This window comes from Homo sapiens, chromosome 12 (assembly GCF_000001405.40).
Source record: "Homo sapiens chromosome 12, GRCh38.p14 Primary Assembly".
Lineage (NCBI taxonomy): Eukaryota > Metazoa > Chordata > Mammalia > Primates > Hominidae > Homo > Homo sapiens.
This window is the reverse complement of record NC_000012.12, coordinates 55,134,566-55,152,163: the sequence shown is the minus strand read 5'-3', so window position 1 is coordinate 55,152,163 and position 17,598 is coordinate 55,134,566.

Here is a 17,598-nt window from a genome sequence, read left to right as displayed (position 1 = left end):
CACAACAGTTAGAATGGCGATCATTAAAAAAGTCAGGAAACAACAGGTGCTGAAGAGGATGTGGAGAAATAGGAACACTTTTACACTGTTGGTGGGACTGTAAACTAGTTCAACTATTGTGGAAGTCAGTGTGGCGATTCCTCAGGGATCTAGAACTAGAAATACCATTTGACCCAGCCATCCCATTACTGGGTATATACCCAAAGGATTATAAATCATGCTGCTATAAAGACACATGCACACGTATGTTTATAGCAGCACTATTCACAACAGTAAAGACTTGGAACCAACCTAAATGTCCAACAATGATAGACTGGATTAAGAAAATGTGGCACATATACACCATGGAATACTATGCATCCATAAAAAATGATGAGTTCATGTCCTTTGTAGGGACATGGATGAAACTGGAAACCATCATTCTCAGCAAACTATTGCAAGGACAATAAACCAAACACTGCATGTTCTCACTCGTAGTTGGGAATTGAACAGTGAGAACACATGGACACAGGAAGGGGAACATCATACACCGGGGACTGTTGTGGGGTGGGGGGAGGGGGGAGGGATAGCATTAGGAGACATACCTAATGCTAAATGACGAGTTAATGGGTGCAGCACACCAACATGGCACATGTATACATATGTAACAAACCTGCACGTTGTGCACATGTACCCTAAAACTTAAAGTATAATAATAAAATTAAAAAAAATTTTTCATAAAATTAAATGTACATTATAGTCAGAAAAATGAAGCTGATTTGGCTTCTGTTATGAATTTTTTATGAAGTCAACGTTTTATTAGTTAAAAGGATGGTGTTTTCATTTACATAAATCTAGTTTTTAATTCATGCTCTGCCACTCACTGGCTGAGTAATCTTGGGCAAATTATTTAAATTCCATGAGCCTCTGATTGCCCATCAACAAAATATGGTTTGGATCATCTGCTTCACAGGATTTCTGTTGTAAGGAATAAATTAAATGATATATATAAATTAAATGAAATATGTAACACATGGGAAAGAGAAAGGGCTCAATAAATAATTGATATATAAGAAAATGAGCAAGAAAAAATGAAAAACTTTTGCTAAATTTTAAAACCTGTATTATGAAAAATTTATGATTTTCAAAAAAACAAGTACCTCTCTTGATATCCAGCTTTTTCCCAAAAAAGCCTCATTGAAGTATTTTGAAAGTTCTTTTCAAAAGAAAAAAGAAAGTTCTTTGTTCTTTTAAAGGAAGCTTTGAAGAAAGCATAATTAATTACAAAAAATGCTTCACAGTATATGTAGATTTATTCAAGTATCTGAGTACACTAGACAAGTATATCTATTTCTAAGTTTCTTATGTCTCTTCCTTATTAGAATCAAAAGAGAATCTTAGACTGAATCTTCAGCTTGAACCTCAAGAAAATCTTGCTATTAATATTATACAAAGTCAGGACTGAGAAATCTTCCTACATGCTACCTGCCGTAAGTTCTAAGTCCTTTGATCCAGCAATACAGGTATTCTTAAAAACAAGAAAGTAAATTAGAAAATATATATATATATATATATATATATATATATATATATATATATATATATATATATATAAATGTGTCGTCTTTTTGAAAAATATAAAGGACCCTGGAGGTGAATTAGGTCACTATTTGACAAACTTTCCCATACCTCAGAATCACCTGGAGGTTTTGTTTTGCTTTTCTTTTAATACTAATTCCTCGGTCACACTTTAATCTGAATATTGAAAAGAGTCTATTAGTGAGATGAGTGTGGGGAGGTACTCATTTATTTTCAAGAGTCCCAACTAAATCATAAAGTCACTCCCTGTAGACGTAGAAGTTTCTAGAAGTTTGAGAACCAGTTCATTGCTTCCAAGCAGAACAACAATTTTCTCATTCAAAGTTACTCAAAGTCACTAATAATTGTAAAGATTATTCTGAAAGGGTATTTCTCATATTTCCTGCATTGTTTCACAAATATGACTTCCAGGGATTTCTGTCTTTATTATACACAAATATGCAATAAACTGAGCTCATTTCATGCTTTCTGATGCCAATGGATACTAGGTTAAGTTGATGACACTTATTTAATGGTGATCACTAAATGCCGCTTACGTAAATTGGGCTCACCACCATCTCCCCCCGCACCCCCTCACACACACATTCCCAGGCATTTCTTTAGGTTTTTTGGTTTTTGTTTTTGTTAACATTTCCACTTTATACACCTAGTTTTATCTTGGTTTCTGAAAGAGCTACTGAGAAATATCATAAAAATAGAAAGTATATTTTACATAGAGTGTGGGGTCTTGATCTGGAACATCTGAAGGAATTTCTAAGATGTTATAAAACTCCTATAATTGTAAACAAAATTTTGTGTGTATAATAGCTTTCATGATTCATGTTAAATTCTAAATACAATGTGACTTAAAATGAGTAGGAATAAAATGACAAGTGATATACGTATTGGTCAAAAATAATTGGACAAGGAAAACAAAGAGTATATGTAACCTTTTTCACATTCAAACTGCCGAAGTGTCTTTAATATGCACCATTCAGTCATCATAATACATGGTATACATTTGGTATTATAGATTATTTTTAAAATTATGAGTATATTTAAAAATATATTTTATAAAATATAATAGTTACCAAGTACTTTAAAATTCTGTAACACTAAAAGTATGCTGATTTACAGTTCCTCCGTTTTCTCAATTTTTCAAAATTGCTGCATTTTCTCACATTGTTATTTTAACTTCTTATGTACACGTATTAATTTTTGAATATTTATATAGTCAACTCTACCAGCATTTATAATCTCCCCCAAAGCAAGATATCAAATACATTTAAATTTTTTATTTTCACACATACTTTTCATAATCTGTATTATTTTTTTCACTTTCCAATCACATACATACCTCATCAGTAAACTGGAGATGACAATGGTAACTTTCTCTTGAAGTTGCTGTGTTGACTAAATACATTAATGTATGTAAAACACAGCACTGTATGTGTAAGTTAACATTATTATATCTCAAATATACTACGAAAAAATAAGCTACAGTTCAAAGAGCAACAGTAACAACGATATTAGCACTAGGAATGTTCAGAATAGTGAGGGGAAAAAAAGATAAATGAGGCTTCACCTGAAAGAGGAAAGTTGTAATCCTTTAGAGCAAAACAATTTTGAAAGAATTGAAACAGAGACCAATCATCTATAAAATTAGGGTCCTATAAAACAATATGTTATGGAAGATGTAAGTTTTATATTCCATTTCTTCCCTAATTTGTTATAGAGGTGTTCAAAATTTGCTTCAGATGATTTGAAGAGAGTAAATCATTAATGAGACATGAAGGTAGCTCTTTTCCCAAATTTGTGAGAGTGACAGTGTAAAGTCTCCTGGAGATAATCAGTGAGCTCTACGGTCCAGAAAAGCTGACCGACGATGCTTATTAGGTAAAAAGATAGAGACTCCCGAACTCATAAAACATAGTGACTTTACATTTTTAAAATTAAGGAAAAATACATGACTGACTTCTTGTGTGATAATTCCTATTAAGGAAATAAGGAATTGGAGTTCCTAGTACATGAATGACAGATATCTGTATTATTTATAATATGGAATCAAAGAGATTCTTGAGGATAGAACAAAAAATGCTGAGAACTAAGAGATGTGATCCTAAGAAAGTTACCATCCTGACAGAATCTGACTTTCCGAATACAAGACTATTCTGCAAAAAAATCAACAGAAATATATTATTTCTTCCTTGATCATCTTCTAGACTTTTCAGGCAACTTCATCAACACTAGGCCAGTTTTATCCATGGGAAATTTAACTTCCATCAGTAACTCTTGAATGTTCAATGAGAAACAGTGGGTTTATTTTGTGTGTGTGTGTGTGTGTGTGTGTGTGTGAGTGTGTGTGTGTGTGTTTTGAGATGGAGTCTCGCTTTGTCACCCAGGCTGGAGTGCAGTGGCGTGATCTCAGCTCACTGCAACCTCTGCCTCCTGGGTTCAAGAGATTCTCCTGCCTCAGCCTCTCGAGTAGCTGGGAGTACGGGTGCGTGCCGCCATGTCTGGCTAATTTTTCTATCTTTAGTAGAGACAGGGTTTTGCCATGTAGGCCAGGCTGCTCTTGAGCTCTTGACCTCAGGTGATTAGCCCTCCTCATCTCCCAAGTAGCTTGGGACTACAGGCATGCGCCACCACCCCAGGCTGATTTTTGTATTTTTAGTAGAGACAGGGTTTCACCATTTTGGCCAGGCTGGTCTGGAACTCCTGGCCTCAAGTGATCCACCAGCCTTGGTCTTCCAGAGTTCTGGGATTACAGGCAAGAGACACCACACCAGGCTGAGAAACAATGGGTTTATGATATTGATCATACCTGTGAGAGTCTCTGGTTAAATTAATAATAATAATAATAATCATCATCATCATCATAATAATAATAAACTTGGAGGTCCCAACGGAAAATACCTGCTTTTCTGCTCTTCAGGATGATTAGAAAAGAAGTTTAATTAATGGGAAAATAAAACAGCTGTGACTAGACTTCTGATTCTGGCCAAGATGAAGTAATAGAAAACAGATTTACTTTCCTGAGTAAACAACAACAAAAGAGAATTTCAATCTCTGTCTGTCTCTCTCTCTGCCTTTCTCTTACTCTTGCTCTCTCACCCCTCCTCCTTTTCCCTCTTTCTCTCCCTGCTCCTTTTTGTGTGATAGATCGATAGATGCATATAGGATATGTATATAAATGTATATATATAATATATAACACAGAAACACACACATATGTGTATATATATTCCACAAGACACTAGACAGCATACAATAAAGAACAGTGGCTCCACAAAGGTAAGAAATAAATATGGTAAGTCCAATGATTGCCTTAGTTTATTTCATTGATAGCATTTTTAAAGATTGAAATTATAGTTTAAAACTTTCCCACAAAGAAACCACCTGGCCCACTTTAATCACTGGTGAATGTTACTGAACATTTAAGCAAAAACATTCTATTCTACGAAAACTTTCCCAGAACATTTTAAATGAGGGGATATTCTCAACTTATTCTATGTAGCCAATGTAATGTTGATATTAAACCAAGTGGAGACAGAACAGAAAAAGAAAACTACAGGCCAGTATCTTCTGTGAACATAATTCCTAAACAAAATTTTAGTAATTTCAATCCAACAAAACATTGAAAGGATAATACACTATGACCACATAAGGTTTAATCCTAGGAATGCAAAGCTAGATTAACATTCAAAAATAAATCAATTTAATTTACTATATTAACAATCTAAAAAAAAGTAAAAAAAACAAAAAACAAAAAACGGGCGTGGTGGCTCACGCCTGTAATCCCAGCACTTTGGGAGGCTGAGGCGGGCGGATCACCTGAGGTCAGGAGATGGAGACCATCCTGGCTAACACGGTGAAACTCTGTCTCTACTAAAAATACAAAAAATTAGCCGGGTGTGGTGACACATGCCTGTAATCCCAGCTACTCTGAAGTGGCTGAGGCAGGAGAATCACTTGAACCTGGGAGGCGGAGGTTGAGGTGAGCCGAGATCGCACCATTGCACTGCAGCCTGGGCAACAAGAGGGAAACTCCATCTCAAAAAAAAAAAAAAAAGAAGAAGAAAGAAAAAAACAACTATAATCATCCCACTAGATGCACAAAAAAGCATTTCACAAAACCAATTATTCATTCCTGATAATAGCTCTCAGGAATTTTCCTCAGCGTGATAAGGGCCATCTATGAAAAACCTATAGGTGTATGATCCTTAATGGTGAAAGACTGAATCATTTTCCCTAAGGTCAGGAACAAGACAATAGGTCTGTCCTGCCACTTATTTTCAACAATTACTATTCTATACTCCGTGTTTTATCTATTTGTGAATGAATGAATGGAATGCAACCTTACCATAAAATGTAAAGTAACTGATATAGAAGAAATGATGGAATAAGAAAATTAGCCCTTGGCAACCCTCAAAGTCATAACTGATTCATTTGAGTCATGCACGGGCTAAAGATAATGGACGAAAGTGTGATAAGAAAGAGACTATTACATAGTTTAAAATATCTCTCAACAAAATACTTATTAATTACTCTTATTAAACACTAAATACACTTATTAATTATCTATCCAGTGGAGAAACCTGGAAGACATCATCTTAACAAAATAATAAAAGTTAACATTGTCAGTAAGGAGACAAATCATCACCATGGCGAGCCTCCTGATATTATGGACTAATAAAAGAAGCAACACTTCCGTGGTATTCCTGCCCCAAACACAGATCCTGAACCTAGTTCAACAGGAAATATTAAACTAAAATGAACAGACATTTCAAAAGGTCAAAGATGTGAAAAAAAAGGAAAGACTGAGAAACACTTTCATATTGAAAGAGATTAGAGAGGTATGACAAATGCAACATGTAATACTGGGTCAGATGCTGAACAAGAGAGAAAAGGGTATAAGAGAAGAAAGCATTTTTTTTTTTCCTAACAAGAGAATTGTCAGGTCAATTGGTAAAATTTCAGTGGGGTCTATGATAAAAATAATGGTACTGAGAAATATTTTTGTAATCTAGCTATGTTCCAAATTGGTTAAAATGTGCATCTACTAAAAAAGGCATCTAATTTAGAAAAATATATAAATCATGGACACATTACTTATTATCAAAAAATCTTTATTTTTTAACCTTAAAAATTTAAATAACTTATCTAAAATGTAAAATTTGGGATTTAGAAGATCATTTATTAGTTTTTGTGAATTTCACTAATTTGGAAAGCACAATACCTAAAATACCGTATCAAAATTTATATTTGATGTTAAAAAACTGGTTTTAATAATAAATATTTTCAGGACAACCTTATAGGGATTTGAATAAGCCAATTTGTTCATGATAAATCTCTTCATTTATATACATCCTGCTGTTTCTCTGCTTTTCTGGAGAAGTTTGACTAATACACTTTCATTGCAAAACAAGGAACTTTATTTCATTATTTTTATATACAATAAATAAAAATTACCAACATAAAATAAATAAAAACTATGATCAATAATTTGATGATAAAATAATTAAAAATTAAAATGTAAAGAAAAGCAAAAAAATTGATTTAGACAACAGTAAAAAACATGTAGTGAACTTTTAAGTTCTTTCAAACTATTGCATAAGAAACTCTATTGAACATTTGCATACTTTTTTGAATAAAAAGTAAACAAACAGGCTGGGCGTGGTGGCTCACACCTGTAATCCCAACACTTTGGGAGGCCAAGGCAGGCAGATGGCTTGAGGCCATGAGTTTCATACCAGCTTGGCCAACATAGCAAAACCTAGTCTCTACTTAAAATACAAAATTTAGCCAGGCGAGGTGGTACCTGCCTGCAATCCCAGCTACTTGGGAGGCTAAGGCATGAGAATTGCTGGAACCCAGGAGGTGGAGTTTGAAGTGGGCCAAGATCGCACCTCTGCTGGGCGACAGAGCCAGATGCTGTCTCAAAAAAAAAAAAAAAAAAGAAAAAGAAAAAGAAAAGAAAAGAAAAAGAAAAAGAAAAGAAAGAAAGAAAATAAAAAACATTAATAAATTTAAATCATCTAATTAAATATGTCAGTGGAAAAATGATTTTGTCTTCTTGAATAATGGAGTTATTGAATATAAAAAATATCAGAGAGCATTAAAGGAGCCAGAAAACTTCAAATGTTGATAATAGTTATCAGAAATTTGAAGAGAATTCAGCACTATAGAAATTTTGCTGAAAAAAATTCTTTTGAACACCACATCATGTGATAACTTTTCATTTAATGGGACAACTTTTGTAATGGTTTGGTCTAGTCTAGTTGTTTCACATCAAACTGTGGCTCAGACAGTATTTAGTGGTAAGATGTAAATCCAAAGATTCCCCCAATAATTTGTAAAAATCAATAGATTTGCTAAAAATTTTATCATTCATTAAGCAGTTTACTAAGATCATAAAAGGGACTTTTTATTGATTTACGTATTGATATATAAGCATTTGTATATATCAATTACTGAACAGCTGTTAAATATTTTGATTATAACCCCTTCTGTTAACCACTAAAATCATTCCTCAAAACTCTTCCCATAAAAAACACTTGTCCAGATGGCATCTTGTCAGTTTTTGCAAACCTTCAAGGAGCAGAAAATTTCAACCACCTCTTTAGAATAAAAAGAAGAAAAACTTCACCTTTTAATGATGTAATACAAGCTTGAGTCCAAAAGGTGCCATGGTTATTATGAGGAAAATAAATAATGTTCTGTCTTGATGATGAACATATACACAATTATAAATGAAGTTCAGTGAAACTCCATGAAAATGCACCTCAGAATAAGACAAGTTCAGATATAATGTTACTGGCAAATATTTTCCATTTTCTCTTCATCCCTTTTCTGGAACAGGGATGAAATCTTACAGGAATTATTTTCAGTGAGGGAAAAAAACAAAAGGAGGGGAGGGAAAACAAGGCAGACAGTGTCAGACAACTTTATCTTGGGAAACAAGGAGTTAGAGGGTGGCTCGCACAATTCCATTTATTTTCAACCAATCTTCCTTGCTCAGGGTAATATGGTGGGGATGAAAACCAGGTTTCTTGGAAATAGTTAGATTTCTTACCATTGTGCTCGAAGTTCCATTCTTTACAGTACCCAGAATCTTTAGATTTCATGGCAGTAGACAACAGCCACCAGATGGCAGCAAACTACAATTGAGTACAGGATTTCCTTCTGGAGCCACAACTACCCAGAAATCCTGAGCAGTTCCGCACATCCTGGATCACACCATTTACTTCACAACAAGATCCTTACTCTTAAGGGGAAAAAAATACATTTTGAAACTTTTTTGTTATGTTAAAATAGGATTTAAAATGTAAAAAAGTGTAGTGCATTATGAAAAAGTTGATTATATCTCAGAAATGTAAAGTTGGTTTAATATTAGAAAACCAATTAATATAATTCACCACATTAATAGAAAAAGAGATAAAACTGATTGTATTATCTCAATAGATGCCAAAAAGGCACTTGATATAATCAGAAAGATGCAAAAATAAGTCCACAATGAGATGATGCAATATCATGACCATAATTGTATAAAAACATTTTAAAATATGATTGCTACCAGCTATTGGCAAGGATATCAATCAATGTGGCATGTAATATGATGATGATAGGAACTAAATGATTTGTTATTATCTTCTAAAATTAAGAAATGCCCTATGGTTCTGCATAGTTTATGCATATATATGTGTGTATACATATGAGTCAGAAAACAGTGGTATGATAACATCAATGCCCTGAGACAAATAGCTTTACACCTAATGTTGTATATCTGTTGTGGGGGAAAGCATTTCAAATTGGTAAAAAAAAGGATTTCAAATAAATAAATAAGGAAAACTTATGAGCAAGTATCATTTACCAATGCAGCTTTAAACATACGTGTATCAGAAGGGATGATTACCCTAAAAAGAATATGTGAGCTCAAGAATAAATATTCTGTTAAAATGTTAAGCATTTGATGAATATGTAATATATTTCATACATATGTATACACACATATATATGCATAAACTATGCAGAACCATAGGGCATTTCTTAATTTTAGAAGATAATAACAAATCATTTAGTTCCTATCATCATCATATTACATGCCACATTGATTGATATCCTTGCCAGTAGCTGGTAGCAATCATATTTTAAAATGTTTTTATACAATTATGGTCATGATATTGCATCATCTCATTGTGGACTTATTTTTGCATTTTTCTGATTATATCAAGTGCCTTTTCGGCATCTATTGAGATAATACAATCAGTTTCATCTCTTTTGGGAATTCAGCCATCAGTCTAAGTTTTCCTTTACTAAACTTATCTTTATTTTGTCTTTCCTTCTGGCTTCTTCTCTTTGTCTTTGGTATTGTGCGTTTTCACTATGGTACATTTTTTGTAGTGTACCTTCTGTTTGGCATCATTTTACCAACCCATATTCTCTTTCTTTAATTCCATCATTTCCACTGGACATATTGCAGACTCTCTAACACTATTGGTATCATCTATCTCTGTCTCTTTTTGCTGTTTTTTTTTTTCAAGTATCCTAATTCTTTCTTCAGTTATCCTTCATCTGTATTTACATTTTCAATTTTAAGGTAAACTTTGTTTTACTATTAAGCTTTTAATTTTACTTTTTTTTGTTTCTAGAAGTTGTACTTATTTTTTAATCTGGTCATATATTTTAGTTTCTTTTTCTTACCAATGCTAACGTGTTTAAAGGAAAGGAAATTTTTCATGTTTTTTTATATATTTCTATTTATTTATTTGGTCAAATGATACTTCTAAGGTCTTTGGGAAATTGCCACACTGTTTTCCATGATAGCTGAACTAATTCACATTCTCATCAGCAGTGAATAAGCCTTCCCTTTTCCCCACAACCTCTCTGGCATCTATTTTTTGACTTTTTAGTGATAGACATTTGGACTAGTATAAGATGGTATCTCATTGTGGTTTTCATTTGCATTTCTCTACTATTTCTCTAATAGTAGTGTTGAGCATTTTTTCATATGCTTATTGGCTATGTGTATGTCTTCTTTCAAAAAGTGTTCTTCATGTCTTTTGCCCACTTTTTAATGGGGTTATTTGGTTTTTGCTTGTTAATTTGTTTAAGTTCCTTATAGATGCTGGATATTAGAACTTTGTCAGATGCATAGTTTCTCCTATTCTGTAGGCTGTATGTGTACTCTGTTGACAGTTTCTTTTGCTGTGGAGAAGCTCTCTACTTTGATTAGGTCCCATTTGTCAATTTTTTATTTTGTTGCAATTGCTTTTGGCATTTTGTAATGAAATCATTGCCAGGGCCTATGTCCAGATTGGTATTTTCTAGGTTATTTTCATTTTCCAGGATTTTTATAATTTTAGGTTTTACATTTAAGTCTTTAATCCATCTTGAATTTATTTTTGTAGATGGTATAAGAAAGGGGTCCAGTTTCAATCTTCTGCATATGGCTAGCCAGTTATCCCAGCATCATTTACTGAATAGGGACCCCTTTTCCCATTGCTTGATTTTGTTTATTTTGCCAAAGATCAGATGGTTGTGGGCATATGACTTTATTTCTGGGCTCTCTATTCTGTTCCATTGGTCTATGTGTCTGTTTTTGTACTGGAACCATGCTGTTTTGATTACTGTAGCCTTGTAACATAGTTTGAAATTGAATAACCTGATGTCTCCAACTTTGTTACTTTTGCTTAATATTGCCTTGCTATTTGAGCTCTTTTTTGGTTCCATATGAATTTTAAAATAGTTTTTTCTGATTCTGAGAAGAATATCATTGGTAGTTTGATATGGATAGCATTGAATCTGTAAATTGCTTTGGGAAGTATGGGCATTTTAACAATATTGATTCTTCCTATCCATGCACATGGAATTTTTTCCATTTGTTTGTGTCATCTCTGATTTCTTTCAGCAGTGTTTTGTAATCCTTGTGATAGAGATTATTCACCTCCCTGGTTAGCTGTATTCCTAGGTATTTTATTCCTTTTGTGGCTATTGTGAATGGGATTGCATTCTTGGTTTGGCTCTCAACTTGAATATTGTTAGTGTATTAAAATGATACCTATTTTTGTACAGTGATTTTTTTCATTCTGAAACTTTGCTGAAGCTGTTTATCAGCTTAAGAAGCTTTTGGGCAAACTGAGATTTTCCAGGTTTAGAATCATGTTGTCTGCCAACACAAACACTTTCTCTCTTCCTATCTGGATGCCTATTCTTTCACTTTCTCTCTTCCTATTTGGATGCCTATTATTTCTTCCAGTGCTATGTTGAATAGGAATGGTGAGCATGGGCATCCTTGTCTTGTTTTGGTTCTCAAGGGGAAGGCTTCCAGCTTTTGCTCATTCAGTATGATGTTAGCTATAGGTTTGCCATAGATGGCTCTTATTGTTTTGAGATATGTTCCTTCACTACCTAGTTTGTTGAGGGTTTTTAACACGAAAGAAGTTGAATTTTATTGAAAGTCCTTTCTGCATCTACTTAGATGTTCATGTGGTTTTTGTTTTAAGTTCTGTTTATGTGGTGAATCACATTTATTGATTTTCATATGTTGAACCAACCTTGCATCCCAGGGATAAAGCCTACAAGATTGCAGGAATTAACTTTTTGATGTGCTGCTGGATTCAGTTTGCTAGTATTTAATTAAGGATTTTTGCATGTATATTCATCAGGGATATTAGCCTGTTTGTTGTTGTTGTTGTTCCTCTGCAGGTCTGGGTATCAGGATGATGCTGTCCTCACAGAATGAGTTAGGGAGGAGTCCTTCTTCCTCCATTTTTGTAATAGTTTCAGGAGAAATGATATCAGCAATTCTTTATATACCTCATAGAATTCAGCTGTGAATCTGTCTGGTCCTGGGCTTTTCTGGTTGGTAGGCTTTTTTATTACTGGTTTAATTTTGGGAGTCATTATTGGTCTGTCAGTGATACAATTTCTTTCTGGTTCAATCTTCAGAGGTTGTATGTTTCCAAAAATTTATCCATTTCTTCTAGGTTTTCTAGTTTGTATGCATAGAAGTGTTCACAGTAGTCTCTGAGGGTTTTTTAAATTTTTGAGGGGGTGGTGGGAATGTCCCCTTTTTCATTTCTAATTGTGTTTATTTGGATCATCTCTTTTTTTCTTTGTTAGTCTAGCTAGTGGTCTATCAATCTTACTTATCCTTTCAAGAAACAAATTATTGGATTTGTTGAACTTTTGTAGAGTTTTCACATCTCAATTTCCTTCAGTTCAGCTCTGGTTTTGGTTATCTATTGCTTCCTGTTAGCTTTGGGATTGGTTTGCTCCTGTTTTTTCTAATTTCTCCATGTGTGATGTTAGGTTGTTAATTGAGAACTTTCTAATTTTTAATGTAAGTATTTAGCACTATAAATTTCCCTTAATAGTGCTTTACCTGTATTCCAGAGATTCTGGTATGTTGTATCTTTGTTTTCATTAGTTTCAAAGAATTTCTTGATTTCTGCCTTAATTTCATTGTTTACTCAAAAGTCATTCAGGAGCAGGTTAATTTCCATGTAATTGTATGGTTTTGAGCAATTTTTTAAGTACTGATTTCTATTTTTATTATGCTGCGGTCTGAAAGTGGTTGGTATGATTTCAATTTTTTTGGATTTTCTGAGGATTGTTTTGTGGCTGACTGGTCTATTTTAAAGTATGTGCCCTGTGCAGATGAGAAGAATGTATATTCTGTTATTTTGGGGTGGAGAGTTCTGTAGATGTCTCTTAGGCCCATTTGGTCAAATGTTGATTTTAGGTCCTGAATATCTTTGTTATTTTTCTGCCTCAATGATCTGTGTAACATTGTCAGTGGGGTTTTGAAGTCTCCCACTTTTATTATGTTGTTACCTAAGTCTCTTCATTGGTCTCTAAGAACTTAGCTTTATAAATCTGGGTGCTCTTGTATTTTGTATATATATATTTAGGATATTTAGGTCTTCTTGCTGACTTGAATCCTTTACTATTATGTAAGGCCCTTCTTTTTCCTTTTTTGATTGTTGTTGGTTTACAATCTGTTTTGTCTGAAATTAGAATAGAATAGCAACCCCTGTTTTCTGTTTTGTTGCTGTTGTTGTTGTTGTTGTTTCTGTTTTCCACTTGCTTGGTAGATTTTTCTCCATCCCTTTACTTTGGGCGTATAGGTGTCATTGCATGTGAGATGGGTCTCCTGAAGACAGTATATAGTTGGGCCTTGCTTCTTCATCCAACATGCCACTCTGTGCCTTTTAATTGCGGCATTTAGCCCATTTACATTCAAGGTTAAGACTGATTGCATGGTTTCATTCTGTCATCATGATTTTAGGTGGTTATTATGCAGACTTGATTGTGTAGTTACTTTGTAGTGTCAGTGGTCTACGTACATAAGTGTGTTTTATGGTGGCCAGTAATTGTAATTCATTTAAATATTTAGCATTCTCTTAAATCTCTTGTAAGGCAGGTCTGGTGGTAACAAATTCCCTTAGGATTTGTTTGTCTGAAAAGGATCTTATTTCTCCTTCACTTAGGAAGCTTAGTTTGGCTGGATATGAAATTCTTAGTTGTAATTTCTTTCTTTAATAAAAATATTAACTCAAGATGGATTAAAGACTTAAATGTAAAGCCCAAAACTATAAAAACCATGGAAGACAACCTAGGCAATATTATTCTGGACGTAGGAATAGGCAAAGATTTTATGGCAAAGACACCAAAAGCAATTACAATAAAAACAAAAATTGACAAATAGAATCTAATTAAACTAAAAAGCTTCTGCACAGAAAAAGAAACAGAAAAAGAAACTGTCAACAGAGTGAAAAGACAACATACAAAATGGGAGAAAATTTTTGCAAAATATGCATCTGACAAAGGCCTAATAAGCGGCATCTATAGGAACTTAAACAAATTTACAAGAAAAAGACAACCTCATTAAAAAGTGGACAAAGGACATGAACAGACACTTTTCAAAAGAAGACATACATACTGCCAATAATAATATTTTAAAAAAAAACTCAACATCACTAATCATTAGAGAAATGCAAATCAAAACCACAATAAGATATCATCTCACACCAGTCAGAATGGCTACTTTTAAAAAGTGAAAAAATAACAGATGCTGATGAGGGTGTGGAGAAAAAGAACACTTATACACTGCTGGTGGGAGCATAAGTTAGTTCAACCAGTGTGAAAGACAGTGTGGTTATTCCTCGAAGTCCTAGAGGCAGAAATGTAATTTGACCCAACAATCCCATTACTGGGTATATACCCAAAGGAATATAAATCATTCTATTATAAAGACACATGCACATGTATGTTCATTGCCACACTATTTGCAACAGCAAAGACAGGAATCAACCTAAATGCCCATCAGTGGTAGACTGGATAAAGAAAATGTGGTACATACACACCATGGAATACTATGCAGCCATAAAAAAAAATAAAATAATATCTTTTTCAGGAACATGGATGGAGCTGGAGGCCATTATTCTTAACAAACTAACGCAGGTACACAAAACCAAATACTGCATGTTCTCACTTATAAGTGAGAACTAAATGATGAGAACACATGGACACATAGAGGTGAACAACACACACTGGGGCTTATTGTAGGGTGAAGGGTGGGAGGAGAGAGAGGATTAGGAAAAATAATTTATAGGTACTAGGCTTAATACCCGGGTGATGAAATAATCTGTACAACAAACCTCCATGATACAAGTTTACCTACACAACTTGTACATGTACCCCTGAACTTAAAATAAAAGTTAAATAATAATTTCAAAAAGTTTAATATATGCCCTCAATTTTTTCTTGTTTGTAGGGTTTCTGATGAAGTGTCTGCTGTTAGCCTGATGATATTCCCTTTGTAGGTGACCTGCATCTTTTCCCTATCTGTCTTTAACATTTTTCTGTCATTTCTACCTTAAATAATCTGATGACTATGTATTGTGGGAATGATCTTCTTGTATAGTATCTCACAAGGGTTCTCTGCATTTCCTGGATTTGAATGTTCACCTCTTTGGTTAGATTGAAAAAATGTTTATGGCTGATGTCTTCAATACGTTTTCCAAGTTGCTTGATTTCCCTTTCTCTTTTTCAAGGATGCCAATGAGTCATAGAGTTGGTCCCTTTACATAATCCCATATTTCTCCAAGATTTTGTTCATTCTTCTTTATTGTTTTTTCTTTATTCTTGCCTGACTGAGTTACTTTGGAGAACCAGTCTTCAAGCTCAGAGATTCTTTCCTCAGTTTGGTCTATTCTGCTGCTAACGCTTGTGATTGTATTATGAAATTCCTGAAGTGGGTTTTTGAGCTCTATTAGATCAGTTTGGTTCTTTCTTAAAATGGCCATTTCATCTATTATGTCCCGTATCTTTTTATTGTATTCCTTAGCTTCCTTGGATTGGGTTTTGGCTTTCTTCTGAATGTTGATGGTCTTCATTCCTATCTATATTCTGAATTCTATTTCTGCCATTTCAGTCATTTCAGACTGGTTAAGAGCCATTTCTGGGGAATTAATGCAGTCATTTGGAGGTAAGAACTCTACTCTGGCATTTTGAGCTTCCAGAGTTCCTGTGCTGTTTTTTTTTCCCTCATCTGTGTGGGTGGATATTCCTTCAATATTTGAAGCTGCTTTCCTTAGGATGTGTTTGGGCTTCTGTTTTCCTTTTATCTTATTTGATGCCCTTGGGAGTTTGACTGTAGTATGAGCTGGGTTCAGTTGACTGGCTTTGATTCTAATCTGCTCCTGGGTCTTGAAAGAGCCCCCTCCAGTTACTGTCTCCATGTCCATGTTTTTTTTTTCTGTTGGGTGATCTAGTACATGGGGCTTCTTCATGCTGAGGCTTCAGTTAACAGACAGGCCACATCTTTGACAGGTCAGCCCTAATCCACTGTCCAAGTGCTTCCCAGGGGAACACAGGGTTGTGCCTGCCCACATAGTTTAGGCAGAAGCAAGACCACTGGGCTGGAAGCTCTAGCAAGCATAGCCCATCTGGCTATGAGAAACAGGAGTGGATGGAGTTGCCTGCCCTGCCATCTGGGTGTTTCCAAGGCAACAGGAGGCTGCACCCCTTGGCAAATTCAAGCAGAAGTGTAACTGCTGGGCTAGAAGCTGTAGCAGACATGTCTTGCCTGGCAGGTGTGTGTGGAGTCTAGCAGGCATTGCCAGCAGCAGGTGTCACCCACCCTACCATCTGGGTGCTTCCCAAGACAACAGGGGGCTGCACCCTCTAGCTGAGTTTACACAGAAGCAGGACTGGTGGGCTGGAAGATTTAGCTTGTATTGCCTGTCTGGCTACCAGCAGAAGGGGTGGGGGGGTCACGTGTCCGGCTGTCTTGGTGTTTCCCAGGACAGTGGGAGGCTGAACTTGCTGGCTGAGTTCAGGTAGAAGAGGGATCATTGGGCTGGAAACTCTAGCAAGTGTTGCCCACCTGGCTACCAGTGGCAGAAGTGAGTTGGGTCACCCACGATGCCATCCAGGTGGTTCCCAGGACAGCAGGAAGCTGTACCCACCAGCTGTGTTCACACAGAAGTGGGATTGCTAGGCTTGAAGCTCTAGAAGGCATTGCCTGCAGGCATAGCTACCAGTGGCAGGGGTGGGGGCAATGGGTTTACATAAGGTATCTTGCAATTATAACAATCTATTTTTAACTGATAACCACTTAATTTCAATCATATACAAATACTCTACACTTTTAATTCTTCCCTCCCACACACACACTTTATGCTATGGATGTCATGACTTACATTTTTTTAATATTGCCTGTCCGTTAACATATTTTTATACTTTTGTCTTTTAACTTTTATACCAGAATAAAAGTTATTTGTGCATTGCCATTACAGTATCAAAGTGTTATGTGTTTTCTACCTATTTACCTTTACCAGCAAGCTTTATACTTTCATATGCTTTCATGCTGCTGTTTAATGTACTTTCATTTCAATTTGAAGGACTTCAGTATTTTTTAAAGGCAGATGTGGTGGTGATGAACTCTGTCACTTTTGTTAGTCTGAGAAAGTTTTTAATTCTTCATTTTTGGAAGATATTTTGCCAGATATGGTATTCTTAATGGCATTTTTT